At 42.0% G+C, this 17105-nt stretch overlaps 1 protein-coding gene across 9 annotated transcripts in view; it reads right to left on the bottom strand.

Annotated features, from left to right (window-relative positions):
* The window catches only part of PCMT1 (protein-L-isoaspartate (D-aspartate) O-methyltransferase), a 61727-nt gene that overhangs the window by 28054 nt on the left and 16568 nt on the right, over positions 1-17105 (bottom strand). For 7 of the 9 annotated variants that reach the window (NM_005389.2, NM_001252049.1, NM_001252050.1 and 4 more), the window contains exons 2-3: positions 12102-12206; positions 10199-10230 (exon numbers count right to left, since the gene is read on the bottom strand). In NM_005389.2, coding sequence (NP_005380.2) covers positions 10199-10230; positions 12102-12206 — 137 coding nt within the window. Of the gene's footprint in view, positions 1-10198; positions 10231-12101; positions 12207-13016; positions 13593-17105 lie in introns of those variants that run through there. The other 2 variants (XM_011535868.3, NM_001252051.1) reach the window with 2 other exon arrangements.

The following is a 17105-nucleotide window of genomic DNA, read 5'->3' as shown; positions in this document are numbered from 1 at the left end:
CGAGGTCAAGAGTTCGAGACCAGGCTGGCTAACATGGTGAAACCCCGTCTCTACTAAAACTACAGAAATTATCCAGGCATGGTGGTGCATGCCTGTAATCCCAGCTATTTGGGAGGCTGAGGCAGAAGAATTGCTTTAACCCAGAAGGCGGAGGTTGCAGTGAGCCAAGATCACGCCACTGCATCCAGCCTGGGTGACACAGCAAGACTATGACTTGAAAAAAAATAATAATAATATGTGGAGTACTAATTTGAGACTACATGAGTATTTTTGTTCTCCAACAATCTTCCTCCTAATGGTTTTAGATTCATTAATAATCTTTGCCTAATTCATTACATTGATGATAACAAAATAGTGATCTTTATTTTTATTTTTGTAGAGTCAGGGTCTTGCTTTGTTGCCCAGGGTGGTCTTGAACTCCTGGGCTCAAGGGATCTGCCCGCTCGGCCTCCTGAAGTGCTGAGATTACACGCATCAGCCACTGCACCCAGCCAAAATACTGATTTTTAAAATTTCATTATTCCTTCCACATTTATTCATTAACATTCTTCTGTTTTTCTGAAAAAAATCATTTTCGCTTTTTTCCCTGTCTTGCTCTTTTTGTTTTTTTTTAAGTCTCCATAGACTCACAAATTTTTGTTTTTCAATTCACTGTGCTATAATCTGTTACCATCATTATTCTTGTTGATTCTCAAATTCTCTCCAATTTGGCCTTTGGGAGCCTCTTCAAATCTGCTCGTATGTCCTTCTGACATTACCTCCTCAGCCTTTGAGTACTTCCTCACTTGACAGATGTCAGTCACTACTCCAAGGAGCACTTGACTCTTTTAGTAAGCAGTGGTATTTAGGATCCCAAACCTGGATGCCAGGTGTGCTCACTGCTACCAGGATACCATTTTAACAGATTGCCTTTAATCTCTTCACCACTGCACGCATCACATTTTTCTTTACAGGTTTGGAAAATATTCCAGGATTATAGTTAATTCCAAGCTTGTGATTTTAAGGTTCATTAGATGTAGATGTCATTTCTCTTTGCATCCTCACTTTCTGCTTGTCTTATAATACTGCTAAGATTTATGCAATAAATGATTCAAGATCACAACTGCTTATTCATATAATACAATTAAAAATATTTTACCCTATTCACATCTTGCACTGTATGCTTACTGTTATGTGCATATATATAAACATTCATATAGATGTTTCATGTGACTATATACATACATAGATACACAAGTTTTCCTTATTAACAGTCATAGATGGCTCAGAAAATATAAGTAATTAAAAATGCATCAGCTTTGGGAGAAAATTCTGACATAAGCTATGACATATGCTAAGTGAAATAAGCCAGTCACAAAAAGACAAACACTTTATGATTCCACTTATATGATGTACCTAGAGGAACCAAATTCATAGAAACAGAAAATAGAATGGTGGTTGCCAGGGGCTGAGGTAAAGAAAGAATGAGAAAAGTGGGAAATTGTTATTGAATGAGTATAGAGTGTTAGTTTTGCAAGATGAAAAGTGTTCTGAAGACTGATTGCATAACAATGTAAATGTACTTAACACTACTAAATGGTACACTTAAAATGGTTAAGATGGTAAATTTTATGTTATGTGTATTTTAACACAATTAAAAATTTTAATGCATTTATATAAAATACAGTTTTAACAATGAAAAGACAAATAACCCAATTAAGAAATGGTCAAGAGGCCAGTTATGGTGGCTCGTGCTTGTAATCCCAGCACTTTGAGAGGCACAGGCAGGAGGATTGCTTGAGCTCAGGAGTTTGAGACCAGCCTGGGCGACATAGCAAGACCCTGTCTTTAAAAAAAATTTTTTGGCCGGGCGCCGTGGCTCACGCCTGTAATCCCAACACTTTGGGAGGCTGAGGTGGGCGGATCACGAGGTCAGGAGTTCAAGACCAGCCTGGCCAACACGGTGAAACCTTGTCTCTACTAAAAATACAAAAATTAGCCAGGTGTGGTGGTGCATGCCTATAATCCTAGCTACTCAGGAGGCTGAGGCAGGAGAATTGCTTGAACCTGGGAGGCGGAGGTTGCAGTGAGCTGAGATGGCACCACTGCACTCCAGCCCGGGTGACAGAGCGAGACTCTGTCTCAGAAAAAAAAAAAAAGTTTTAATTATCTAAAAAAAAAAAACAAAAAAAAAAAAACAAGAAAGGGGTAAGAGACTGAATAAATGTTTCTCCAAAGAAGATACAGAAATGGCCAAAACGCACATGAAAAGACGCTCAACATCATTCATCATTAGGGAAATGCAAATCAAAACCACAATGAGACACCACTTCATAGTCACTAGGATGGATAAAATTCTTTTAAAAAAAGAAAATAACAAATGTTAACAAGGAAGCAGAGAAACTGGAACCCTCATACATTGCTAGTGGGACTGTAAAATGGTGCAGCTGCTTTGAAAAACGGTTTGGCCATTCCACAAAATGTTAAACATAGAGTTTTCATATATGATCTGGTAATTCCACTCCTAGGTAAATACTCGAGAGAAATGAAAACACACAAAAATGTGTACACAAATGTTCACTGCAGCATTATTTAGAATAGCCAAACACTGGAAACAATCCAAATGTCCCTCAACAGTTAATAGATAAATGTTGTATATCCATACAATCGGATATTATTCAGTCATAAAAAGGACAGAAGTACTGATTCACACTACAACAGGGATCAATCTTGAAAACATTATGCTAAATTTAAAAAGTCAGTCATAAAAGGCAACATATTATATGATTCTATTTATATGAAATGTCTAGAATAGGCAAATCTATAGAAACAAATAATAGATTAGTAGTTGCCAGGACCTGAGCAGAGCAGGGGTTGGGATCTGACTGCTAATGGGTATAAGGAAGGTTTCTTTCTGCAGTGATGAAAACCTCATATTAGAGAGTGCTGATGTTTGTGTAACTCTGAATAAACTAAAAACTGCAGAATTCTACACTTTAAAGGGATGAATTCTACAGTATAAGAATTATACCTTTTTTTTTTTTTTCTGAGACAGGGTCTTGATCTGTCACTCAGGCAGGGGTGTAGTGGTGTTATCATGACTCACTGCAGCCTCCATCTCCCAGGCTCAAGCAATCCTTCCACCTCAGTCTGCAGAATAGCTGGGACCACAGGCACGTACTATCACGCCCAGCTAAATGTTTTTTATTTTTTGTAGAGATGGGATCTCACCATGTTGCCCAGGCTGGTCTCAAACTCCTGGGCTCAAGTGATCCTCTGGCCTCGGCCTCCCAAAGTGCTGGAATTACAGGCTCAAGGTACTGTACCTAGCCAAGAATTGTATCTTAATAAAGCTGTTTTGTATTGTTGTTTTAAAATGCATCTTTTGCCATGAAGTAACTGCTATGCTTTGTTCAGCAATGAACTGGACACCCAGACCAAACTTCAGGGGAAAGAAAAAAATCACAAAGTATTTCCCTTAATACCTGAAAGCATACCACTCCAGTCAATTTCCCAACCATGCTAGATACTGGTTCTCCAAAATGACTTTTAGCATTCATACTTCTTTTTTTTTTTTGAGTCAGAGTTTTGATCTTTTGCCCAGGCTGGAGTGAAGTGGTGCGATCTTGGCTCACTGCAACCTGCACCCTCCCCAGGTCCAAGTGATTCTCTTGTCTCAGGCTCCTGAGTAGCTGGGATTATAGGCTCCTGCCACCACACGTGGCTAATTTTTGTATTTTTAGTAGAGACGGGATATTGCCATGTTGGCCAGGCTGGTCTCGAACTCCTGACCTCAGGTGACCCACCTGCCTCGGCCTCCCAAAGTGCTAGGGTTACAGGCATGAGCCACCCCGCCCAGTCACATTCATGCTTCTATATAAATCTTTCATTTAGGTAGTGTTGTGGGACAAATCAGAGACGGGAGAGACTGAGCACAGTTCAGGAGAGTGTCTAATTATTAAGGTGATCACTGGCGCAGTCGGACTAGGGTCCAGAAAGTCTGATCCCTGAACAAAGGGATCAATCACCTTTTAAGCAGTTTGTGGCAGGAGTTAGGGAGTTACGTGCTGCAGGAAGGGTACTTGCAGAAGCGAGATCAAAGGCAGTTAATTACTCTTTTACATTTGTTACACCATATGTTTTACATCCTTGGGAATACATGCTTTTGTAGCAATTGCTTATCAACTTTGTGACTTTACAGCCGAGCTAGGGAGGGAAGCAAGAACTCGCTGTGCCTCAAGGAATGTAAAACGATGGAACACAGATAAGCCTCTCTGCGCATAGAGGAGGGATAAGCAGTTAATATTCTCTCTCAACCCGGGCCCCGCACCAGAGTGGGGGGGTGGGGTGGGGCTATATTACGTTCTACCTTCAAGAAAAAGAATAAATTTTTCTACCATTATACTTATAAAATTCATTAATTCCCCCTTCAGTAGTAGTTCAAACTGTTTGCAGATTATCTTAAGACTATAACTTTTCTTTTTAATCACTTATTGAATAGGTAATATACAAAAAAGTCATTCCTAATCTATGGTTTAAAGAAAAAAGAAAGCCCGGCCCAGTGGCTCACACCTGTAATGCTAACACTTTGGGAGGCTGAGGTGGGAGGATCGCTTGAGCTCCAGGGTTCAGAACTAGCTTGGGCAACACAGTGAGTCCTCATCTCTACAGAAAATGTTTTTAAAAAGTAAAGGGTGGTGGTATGTGCCTATAGTCCCAGCTACTCAGGAGGCTAAGGTGGGAGGATCTTTTAAGCTCAGCAGGTCTCGGCTGCAGTGGGCCATCATCATGCTTCTGTACTCCAGCCTGGGCAACAAAGCAACACCCTGTCTTAAAAAAAACAAAAACTAAAAAATTAAGGGCTAGACGCAGTGGCTCAGGCCTGTAATCCCAGCACTTTGGGAGGCCAAGGAGGGTGGATCGCTTGAGGTCAGGAGTTTGAGACCAGCCTGGCCAACACGGTGAAATCCCATCTCTACTAAAAATACAAAAATTAGCCGGGTGTGGTGGTGCACACTTGTAATCCTAGCTACTCAGGAGGCTGAAGCAGGAGAACTGCTTGAACCTGGGAGGCAAAAGTTTCACTAAGCTGAGACTGTGCCACTGCACTCCAGCCTGGGCGACAGAGAGAGACTCCATCTCAAAAATAATAATAATAAAAAATTAAAATGTTAAAAAAAATTAAGCAAAAGGAATAAAGAAATTGATAACACGCCAGACACAGTGGCTCAAGCTTGTAATCCCAGCACTTTGGGAGGCCGAGTCAGGCAGATCACTTGAGGCCAGGAGTTCAAGACCAGCCTGGCCAACGTGACGAAACCCTGTCTCTACTAAAAATACAAAAATTAGCCAGGCTTGGTGGTGTATATCTGTAATCCCAGCTATCTGAGAGGCTGAGGCAGGAGAATCACTTGAATCCGGGAGGCAGAGGTTGCAGTAAGCCAAGATCACCCCACTGCACTCCAGCCTGGGCAACAGAGTGAGACTTTGTGGAAAAAAAAAAAAAAAAAAAGAAGAAAAGAAGGAAAGAAGGAAGGAAGGAAGGAAGGAGAAAAAGAAAGAAGAAAAGAAAGAGAAAGGACAAAGAAAGAAAGTCAAAGAAAGCAAAGAAAGAAAGGAAGGAATTGATAACAGATCAAGGACACAGAGTGAAAATCAGATCTCAATTCCACCCATATATCCTAAATAAGCTAATTCCTATCTTAGAAGAAATTATTTTTAGTTTTCATTCCCAAAGAAAAACATATATGTGCATGTATGTGTGCATATGTGATTTTCATACATTACAGAATATTCTAAATACCCTTTGGGACTCAACTTTTATACTGTTTCATTCTTATTTTTCCCACCCAAAAAACCACCTGTAAGTATTATACTGCATTTCTTGAAGACTTTGTCATATTTGTACTTGCAGAGTTCTTTTAACAGTTTCACAATACTCCACAACATGGAGGTTAAGATGGTCCCTGACTTAACAGTGGTTCAACATATGATTTCTCGACTTTACGATGATGTAAAAATTATACACGTTCTGTACAAATTGTACTTCAAGTACCCATACATGCATTCTATTTTCCACTTTCAGTACAATATTCAATAAATTACATGTGATATTCACCATTTTATTATAAAACAGACTTTGTGTTAGTTGATTTTGCCCAACTGTAGGCTAACGTAAGTGTTCTGAGCACATTTAAGGTAGGCAAGGCTAAGCTATGAAGTTTGGTAGGCTAAGTATATTAAATGCATTTTAGAGTTACAGTATTTTCAACTTATGATGGGTTTACCAGGACATACCCCCATGTAAGTCAAGGAGCATCTGTACTGTAATTTATTAACCATCCACCATTTGTGGACATTGCTTTTTGTAATTATAATAAATAAGACGTCAATAAATAACTTAAGTCACTCTGCACTCATGTATATATTATGGGATAAATATCTTGAAATAAAACTGGGAAATCTAAGTTATATTTATTTCACATTTCGATAGATACTGCCAAATTGTCTTCCAAAAACATTCAATGTACTCTCCCACACAAAAAAAGTATGTGACTGCCAGTTTTCCATTTCCAATACAAAGTATCAAATTTTTTAATCTCTAACAATCTGATAGGTGAAAACTGGTACCTCATTATAGTGCTAATTTGCAATTTACTAAGTATAAGTGAAGATGAGGCTGGGCATGGTGGCTTATGCCTGTAATCCAACATTTTAGAAGGCCAAAGCAAGAGGATCACTAGAGCCCAGGAGTTCACGACCAACCTGGGGTAACAAAGTGAGGCCCTGTCTCTACAAAAAAAAATTTTAATGGCCAGGCACAGTGGCTCACACCTGTAATCCCAGCACTCTGGGAGGCCAAGGCGGGTGGATCACTTGAGGTCAGGAGATCACTTGAGGTCAGGAGGTCAGGTCAGGAGACAAGCCTGGCCAACATGGCGAAACCCCATCTCTACTAAAAATACAAAAATTAGCCGGGCATGGTAGTGCACACCTGTAATCCCAGCTACGAGGAAGGCTGAGTAAGGCACGCGAATTGCTTGAATCCACGGGGCGGAGGTTGCAGTGAGCCGAGATCATGCCACTGCACTCCAGCCTGGGCAACAGAGCAAGACTCTGCCTCAAAAAAAAAAAAATTTAAATACGTGAAGATGACATCTTTTCATTTGTTTAAATGTCAAAGTCATTTGTATTTCTGTTCAATGAACTATCTTAGCCTTTTCTTTTTTGAGACAGACTTTCACTCTTGCTGCCCAGGCTGGAGGGCAATGGTGCAATTTCAGCTCAACGCAACCTCTGCCTCCCGGGTTCAAGCGATTCTCCTGCCTCAGCCTCCCAAGTAGCTGGGATTACAGGCATGCGCCACCACGCCCAGCTAATTTTGTATTTTTAGTAGAGACAGGGTTTCTCCATGTTGGTGAGGCTGGTCTCAAACTCCCAACCTCTGGTGATTCGCCCACTTTGGCCTCCCAAAGTGCTGGGATTACAGATGTGAGCCACCACGCCTGGCCACGATGAACTATCAATCCTGTCCTTTACACATTTTCTTTTGGGCTTACCGGTCTTTCACTTATTAACAGGATACACACAAACACAAATGTATGCATACATGTCTACATATTGAAATTTTCCCTTGCTGTCATATGTATTACAATATTTCCCTCAATCGTTAATTATTATTATTGAGATGAGGGTCTCTGTCAACCAGGCTGGAGTGCAGTAGCACAATCATGGCTCACTGCAGCCTCAAATTCCTGGACTCAGACAATCCTTCTGCCTTGGCCTCCCTTGTAGCTGGGACTACAGGAACATTGCCACCACACCCAACTAATTTTTAAAATTTTTTGTAGAGACAGAGTCTTGCTTTGTTGCCCAGGCTGGTCTCAAACTCCTGGCTTCTAGCGATATTCCTGCCTCGGCCTCCCAAAGTGTTGAGATTACACAGGTGTGAGCCACCACACACAGCCAATTTTTCCTCTTTAATTTTTGCTTATAACATTTTTTCTCCGCAAAAATCCTAGATATGTAAGTTTCAAAATGTATCAGGTTTTTTTAATGGCTTCTGTGTTTTCTGTCATGTTTCAAGAAGACATTACTATTCAATTTTTATAAATGTCTGCTTTTTTCTTCTAGTATAATTATCAATTTGCTATAAATACATATAGAATTTATATTAGTATTAAGTTTAAATAAGAGCTTCTCCAACCCCAAATACTTGCAGAGAATCAGAAAAGTTATTGTTCTGGCCAGGCCCAGTGGCTCATGCCTATAATCCCAGCATTTTGGGAGGCAAAGGCGAGTGGATCACCTGAGGTCAGGAGTTCAAAACCAGCCTGGCCAACAAGGTGAAACCCTGTCTCTATTAAAAATACAAAAAGTTAAGGCTGGGTGGGGTGGCTCACGCCTGTAATCCCAGCACTTTGGGAGGCCGAGGCGGGCGGATCACAAGGTCACGAGATCGAGACCATCCTGGCTAACATGGTGAAACCCCGTCTCTACTAAAAAATACAAAAAACTAGCAGGGCATGGTGGCGGGCACCTGTAGTCCCAGCTACTCAGGAGGCTGAGGCAGGAGAATGGCGTGAACCCAGGAGGCGGAGCTTGCAGTGAGCCAAGATGGCGCCACTGCACTCCAGCCTGGGCCACAGGTGAGAGTCCGTCTCAAAAAAAAAAAAAAAAAAAAGTTAGCCAGGTGTGGTGGCGGGTGCCTGTAATCCCAGCTACTAGGGAGGCTGAGGCAAGAGAATTACTTGAACCTAGGAGGTGGAGGTTGCAGTGAGCAGAGATGACAATATTGCACTCCAGCCTGGGCACAAGAACGAAACTCCGTCTCAAAAAAAAAAAAAAAAAGACTGGGCCCAGTGGCTCACACCTATAATCCCAGCACTTTGGGAGGCTGAGGCGGGTGGATCACAAGGTCAGGAGTTCAAGACCAGCCTGGCCAACATAGTGAAGCCCCGTCTCTACTAAAAATACAAAACATAAGCTGAGTGTGGTGGCGGGCACCTGTAATGCTAGTTACTCAGGAGGCTGAGGCAGGAGAATCACTTGAACCCAGGAGGCGGAGGTTGCAGCAAGCCAAGATCGCGCCACTGCACACCAGCCTGGGCAACAGTGTGAGACTCCATCTCAAAAAAAAAAAAGAAAAGAAAAAGAAAAGAAAAGCTATTGTTCTTTCCTACAAAATAAAACAAAAGTACTCATTCAAATACTGACATTTAAACCCTAAGAAAAGGTTGGGCACAGTGGCTCATGCCTGTAATCCTAGCACTTTAGGAGGCTGAGGTGGGAGGACTGCATGAGCCCGGGAGTCAAGGCTGCAGTGAGCTGTGATGATTATACCACTGCATTCCAGCCTGGGTGACAAGGTAAGAAGTTGTCTCAAAAATAAATAAATAAATAAATAAAACCCAAGAAAATTCCCAACAGATTAAAACTGCTAGATCACTCAAAGTAAGTCTTTCTCAAGGAGCTATGCAGCTTAATGGCTCTTATACTTAACCACTCCCTAATGAATTTTCCACATAAAATGTGAAATAATATTCAACTTGAGATTTCTATAAAATGTCCATTATACTATTTAAAATATTATCTCCATTAATTAACTGTCTACTAAATAACCTTTTATGTTCAATTTTTACATGTCACAGATACTGACAACCACCAAAATCTTTTAATATGCCAGTTTCTACCTTAAAAAGCTCCTTCTGGGCCAAGCGCAGTGGCTCACGCCTGTAATCCCAGCACTTTGGGAGGCCGAGGCAGGCGGATCACGAGGGTCAGGAGATCGAGACCATCCTGGCTAAGACCATGAAACCCCGTCTCTACTAAAAATATAAAAAATTAGCCGGGCATCGTGGTGGGCACCTGTAGTCCCAGCTCCTGGGGAGGCTGAGGCAGGAGAATGGCATGAACCCGGAAGTGGGAGGTTGCAGTGAGCCGAGATTGTGCCACTGCACTCTAGCCTGGGCGACAGAGCGAGACTCCATCTCAAAAACAAAACAAAACAAAACAAAACAAAACAAAACAAAACAAAACTCCTTCTACAGACCCTGTATTAAGAATAAGATGTTCAAAAAAGAAAATGATGTTCATTACCAATTCACATAACTCATAGATGATAAATTGATACAACTTTCTTTAAATCTTTTTTACTAAAGAAAATGATTATAGAGAAAAATGTAATCCATTTGTAACCAAGTGAACAAACTTAACTTACCATGTGTGGAGCACTGATTGTTGCTTGGAAACCTGCAAAAGAAGAAGAGAACTACTGATACAGTCAGCTGTAAAAATATACTATTTCACATAATTTCTTTTCTACCATCCATACGTTATTTTTCACAATAATTCTTTTTTTTTTTTTTTTTTTCTGAGACAGTCTCACTGTGTCGCCCAGGCTAGAGTGCAGTGGCGCGATCTTGGCTCACTGCAAGCTCCGCCTCCCAGGTTCACGCCATTCTACTGCCTCAGCCTCCCGAGTAGCTGGGACTACAGGCCCCCACCACCACGCCCGGCTAATTTTTTGTACTTTTAGTAGAGACGGGGTTTCACCGCGTTAGCCAGGATGGTCTCGATCTCCTGACCTCGTGATCCACCCACCTCGGCCTCCCAAAGTGCTAGGATTACAGGCGTGAGCCACCACGCCCGGCTTTCACAATAATTCTTTTTTAGTTTTTATGATCTCAAGAAAATAAAACTTACTTCTATTAGAGTACTGTCACCCAGCAGTTAAAATTAGAAAATATAATCATGCCAAAGGGTAACGTGCTCATCTAGTAAAACAGTCCCTCTAAAGTACGGCAGCTAAAAATTTCTTCTCCTGTAGAGTCAGCTAAGAAAGGAAGAATTTCAGTAAGTTGAGAGTTGATATATTTTTGGCTTGTTTTTACTTCAGATTGTTTTTTAAAAATAAGTTTTCATATGTAATAGGTATACAAAGTCTGTGCAAAATTAAATTGCTTCATATTTCTGTCAACTTAAAAAAAAACTAGAATAACTGAAAAAGTAGCTTAAAAGACCAATAAAATACTTCATTTTATTCTTTATCTTATCATCTAATGTTAATTCACACAATCTTTTCGTGGTTCTTAACTTTTAGTTTCTTTTCTTGTGGTGTTGCTTTCTCAAAACTTATTTACCTGCTTCTTTCTGCCTCTGAAGCAAGTTTCACTGAGCGGTGGTAGCAGGTGCCTTCGGGGTTCAGAAGCTCCCCAGGATCTTCTCTGCTGACTGTTATAGTGCGTCAAAAGAAGATAGCATGGCAGCCGACTGACAGAATCCTGAGGCACTTCTAAGCCTCAAAGGCGCCCACTGCCAAGGCTCAGCAGTTCAGCAAAACCTGCTTCAGGAGAAGGAGTTAAATACAGGACTTTCTAAAAACAAACACAAGCCAAAAAAGCAGGGCAAATAAAGCAGAGAAGTCATTAATAACTTAAGCACACTTATTTAAATATTGATTTAAAAAATTAATCCTAACCTGAAAACTAATCTTTAGTCAACACTAAGGCCCCTAAAGAAAACTCAGCACTCGGCTAATACTGTAAGTTTTCATTAAAAGTTTTTTTTTACGGCAGGGTGTGGTGGCTCATGCCTGTAATCCTAGTGCTTTGGGAGGCCAACACGGGTGGTTTGCCTGAGCTCAGGAGTTCCGAGACCAGCTTGGGCAACACGCTGAAACCCCGTCTCTACTAAAATACAAAAAATTAGCCAGGCATGGTGGCATGCACCTGTAATCCCAGCTACTCGGGAGGTTAAGGCAGGAAAACTGCTTGAACCCAGGAGGTGAAGGTTGCAGTGAGCCGATATTGTGCCACTGCAATCCAGCCTGGATGATAGAATGAGACTCCGTCTCCAAATACAAAAGTTTTTTTCACTAAAATATTTTATTTCAAAAAATGTTTTTAATTCTTTATACATATTATATATTGTTCGAGAAAACAGAAAAACATACATAATTTTATTAAAATAGGTATGTTTGGGATTATGAAACTTGCTGAGTCATAAAATTCAAATTAAGAAGGTAATAATAGATAAATATCTGTGTCCCAGGCTTTTTCTACTTCCAAAAATCATAAAGTAAATGATGAAAACTATGATATTTTCAGAAATCTAAAGCTTACCTATTGATTGTGGAGAATCCATGTATGGGTTACATTTTGCATAGTGGGAGCGGTCTGTAGCCAGCATCACTTCAAATACTTTATCTGTCTTGATGATTCCATTTTCTGAAACAAGTGAGGCAAATATTTTCAGAAGAGAGAGACATGATCAGAGATATTTTAGAATAATTACACCAGCTGTGCTATAGAGACTGAACTGGAAGAGAGAATGATTGGAAGTTGTTGTAATGGCCCAGGTAATGGCAACCTGGTTTCTTTTTTTTTTTCTGAGACAGAGTCTCGCTCTGTCGCCCAGGCTGGAGTGCAGTGGCGCAATCTCGGCTCACTGCAAGCTCTGCCTCCTGGGTTCACGCTATTCTCCTGCCTCAGCCTCCCGAGTAGCTGGGACTACAGGTGCCCGCCACCACGCCTGGCTAATTTTTTGTATTTTAGAAACAGGGTTTCACCATGTTAGCCAGGATGGTCTCGATCTCCTGACCTTGTGATCTGCTCACCTTGGCCTCCCAAAGCACTGGGATTACAGGTGTGAGCCACTGGACCCGGCTTTTTTTTTTTTTTTTTGAGATGGAGTCTTGCTGTGTTGCCCAGGCTGGAGTGCAGTGGTGCGATCTCGGCTCACTGCAACCTCCGCCTCCCAGGTTCAAGTGATTCTCCTGCCTCAGCCTCCCAAGTAGCTGCGACTACAGGTGCATGCCACCACGCCCAGCTAATTTTTTGTATTTTTAGTAGGGATGGGGTTTCACTGTGTTAGCCAGGCTGGCCTTCATCTCCTGACCTCATGATCCACCCACCTCAGCCTCCCAAAGCTGGATTATAGGTGTGAGCCACCGTGCCCAGCCCAACCTGGTCTTTAGTAACAGCAAGGACACAGAAAACTAGAAGGATAATGAGTTATATTTGGTAGGTAATATATACCTGACTGACTGGATTTGGGGATGGGAGTGGAGGTAATCATTGATACGCTGATGCCATTTACCAATTTAAGAAATCCTGTAGAAGGATCAAAGTTAAGGGGTAAAAAGTTAGGGGCTTCAGATCATACAACTGGAGATATTCTGTAGTCAGCTGGACACATGGATCTGGAGCTCAGGAAAGAGATCTAGAATAAAGATTTCTATTTATTATGGATGGCAACTAAAGCAATCAAAGTGAATTCAAAGTGGCCAGAGAATAAGTAGAGAAGACAAAGCCAACATCTAAAAGATATGCAAAGAAAACAGAGCCATGAAAGATGATGAGCAGTCACAGAGGCAGGATGAAGACCAGACCATACTGTTGACTGTTGTAGAGCCAGGAGACGTGAATTTCTCAGGAAGGAAAGCAAGATCAATAATATATATTTGCCTTCCCCAACAATTAGCTGAGATTAAGGCCAGGTGCAGCGGCCCATGCCTATAATCTCAAAGCCTGGGGAGGCCAACAGGGAGGATAGCTTGAGACCAGGCAAGGCAACATAGGCCCTGTCTCCACAAAAAAAAAAAAAAAAAAAAAAAAAATTTAATTAGCTGGGGATCATGGCACAACCATGTAGTCATAAATACTCAGGAGGCTGAGGTGGGAGAATTGCTTGAGCCCAGGAGTTTGAGATTATAGTGAGGTATGATCATACCACTGCACTCCAGCTTGGGTGAGAAAGCATGACCCCTGTCTCAAGGCCAGGCACGGTAGCTCACACCTGTAATTCCAGCACTTTGGGAGGCCCAGGCGGGCAAATTACTTAAGGTCAGGAGTTTGAGACCAGCCTGTCCAACATGGTGAAACCCCATCTCTACTAAAAATACAAAAATTAGCCAGGTGTGGTGGCGCACCCCTGTAATCCCAGCTACTCAGGAGGCTGAGACGGGAGAACTGCTTGAACCCGGAGGCTGAGGTTGCAGTGAGCCGAGATCGTGCCACTGAACTCCAGCCTGCGTGACAGAGTAAGACTCAGTCTCAAAAAAAAAAAAAAAAAAAAAAAAGAATCCTGCACAAATAGGTGCTAACTCCCCTTTTCCTCCCCACTACCAATATCATCATCCATTAAAGAAGGTGCAGGATGCTATACTAACAGGAGGGGGTACACAATGAACTCTGTCCACAAAATGCCTAAAAGTAGGAAAAAGAAAAAAACCAATCAAACCAATGCCATTCAAATCTAATGTAAAAAGAAAACTAAATGCAAATAAAAACATTTCTGCTGATTAAAGAAAACCAGTATTTAAAACTATACTCTAAGAAAATGTGCCAGGGAGTAAACATATTACCAGGAAGAATTAACTTCAAAATACATTCTAATGAAACTATTAGATTTTAAAGGAAAGGAAAAAAATTCTCAAAACATCAAGGCAAAAATAATTAGCCAGGCTGGCGCGGTGGCTAACGTCCGTAATCCTAGCACTTTGGGAGGCTGAGGTAGGCGGATCACTTGAGGTCAGGAGTTCAAGACCAATACGGCCAACATGGCGAAACCCCATCTCTACTAAAAATACAAAAATTAGCTGGGCGTGGTGGCACATGCCTGTAATCCCAGCTCCTAAGGAGGCCGAGGCACAAGAATCGCTTGAACCCAGGAGAAGGAGGCTGCAGTGAGCCGAGATCATGCCACTGCACTCAAGCATGAGCAACAGAGCGAGGCTCTGTCTTTAAAAAAATTAAAAAAGAAAAAAAAAACTAGCCGTGCATGGTGGTTCATGTCTGTGATCCCAGCTACTCAGAGGCTAAGGTAGGAGGATCACTTGAGCCTGGGAGGCGGAGGTTGCAGTGAGTCAAGATCATGCCACTGCGCTCCAGCCTGAGTGACAGGGTGAGACTCCATCTCAAAAAAAAAAAAAAAAAAAAAAAAATTCAAGACTAAAAGATCAAATCACCTATTATAATAAGAATTTTAAAAATTAGGGGCCAGGTGCGGTAGCTCATGCCTGTAATCCGAGCACTTTGGGAGACCAAGGCAAAAGGATTGCTTAAGCCTAGGAGCTCAAGACCAGCCTGGGCAACATAGGGAGACCCCGTTTCTTTAAAAAAATTTGAAAATTAGCCAGGTGTGGTGCCATGTGCCTGTGGTCCCAGCTACTTGGAGGCTGAGGTGGCAGGATCACTTAAGCTCAGTAAGTTGAGGCTACAGTGAGCTGTGATCATGCCACTGTACTCCAGCCTGGGCAACAGAGTAAGGCCCTGTCTCAAAACACAAACAAACAGGTCGGGCATGGTGGCTCATGCCTGTAATCCCAGCACTTTGGGAGGCCGAGGTGGGTGGATCACCTGAGGTCAGGAGTTTAAGACCAGCCTGGCCAACATGGCGAAACCCTATCTCTACTAAAAATACAAACATTAGCCGGGTGTGGTGGTGCGCACCTGTAATCCCAGCTACTCAGAAGGCTGAGGCAGGAGAATCGCTTGAACCTGGGAGGTGGAGGCTGCAGTGAGCCAAGATCGCGCCACTGCACTCCAGCCTGGGTGACAGAGCAAGACGTCATCTCAAAACAAACAAACGAACAAAAAATTAGGTCACTACAGATTTCTTAAGAGCAACAAACAAGCCAGATGCAGTGGCTCACGTCTGTAATCCCAGCAATTTAGAAAGCCAAGGTGGGTGGATCACTTGAGTCCAGGAGTTCGAGACCAGCCTGGGCAACACGAAGAGACCCCATCTCTACAAAAAACTTAAAAAATTAGCTGGACGTAGTGACGCATACCTGTAGACCCAGCTACTCAGGGGACTGAGGTGGGAGGATTGCTTGAGCTTGGGAGGTCAAGGCTGCAGTATGCCCTGATCATGCCACTGCACCCTAGCCTGGGTGACAGAGTGAAACCCTGTCTCAATAAATAAAAATAAAAATTAAGAGCAAGATTCAAAGCAAAGTAAGAATAAGGCAGCATTTTCAAGAAATTCAAGGAAAGAAAGTGCAAGTCACCATAAAAAGGAGTGAACGGCTGGGTGCGGTGACTCATGCCTATAATTCCAGCACTGTGGGAGGCCAAGGTAGGAGGATCACTTGAGCCTGAGTTGAAGAGCAGCAGAAAAAAAAAAAAGAGTGAATTACTGATATACCCAACATGAATGAATTTCTTTTTCTTTTTTTTTGAGAAGGAGTCTTCCTCTGTTGCCCAGGCTGGAGTGCAGTGGCGTGATCTCGGCTCACTGCAACCTGCCTCCTGGGTTCAAGTGATTCTCCTGCCTCAGCCTCCCAAGTAGCTGGGATTATAAGCGCCTGCCACCACATCCAGCTAAGTTTGGTATTTTTAGCAGAGACAGGGTTTCACTGTGTTGGCCAGGCTGGTCTTGAACTCCTGACCTCGTGATCCACCCACCTCAGCCTCCCAAAGTGCTGGGATTACAGATGTGAGCCACCACACTCAGCTTGAATGAATCTCAAAAGCACTAATCTAAGTGAAAGAAGCCAGGTGAGGAGACTACATGATTCCATTTTTAACACATTCTAGAAAAGCCAAAACCATAGTGGTAGAAGGCCCGTCTGTAGTTGCTAGAGGATAGGAGAAGGGAGGAGATTAATTACAAAGAGACACCAGAAAACTTTTTGGGTGAAAGAAACATTCTATAGCAGAGATCAGCAAACAACTGTAAAGGTCCAAATAGTAAATATTTTAGGATTTGCAAGCCGTGTAATCTCTGTTGCAACTACTAAGCACTACCACTGTGATGCAAGAACAGCCAGAAACACTACATAAATGAAAGTGTGGCTGTGTTCCAATAAAAATTTATAAAACCAGGCAGCAGGCCAAATTTTGTCTGTGGCCTGTAGTTTGCTGACCCATGTTCCACATCATAATGAAGTTGGGGGTTACACTTTCTGTTTGTCACATTTTTCAAATTGTATTCTTACAACTGGTGAATTTTTATATAACTTATACCTCAATAAAGCTGATTTTTTTTAAGTGTAAGCCAACGATTTTATACCCAGCCAAGCTGTCCTTCAAATATCGAGGCCATAGGAAGGAAAAAAACCATTTTGAATATGCAGGAACTCAGAGAATGCTGTACACACAAGCCCTTTCTGAGGAATCTTC

The sequence above is a fragment of the Homo sapiens genome, chromosome 6 (genome assembly GCF_000001405.40).
Source record: "Homo sapiens chromosome 6, GRCh38.p14 Primary Assembly".
Taxonomy (NCBI): domain Eukaryota; kingdom Metazoa; phylum Chordata; class Mammalia; order Primates; family Hominidae; genus Homo; species Homo sapiens.
The sequence above is the reverse complement of the archived record's forward strand: the minus strand, read 5'-3'. Positions and strand labels throughout refer to the sequence as shown.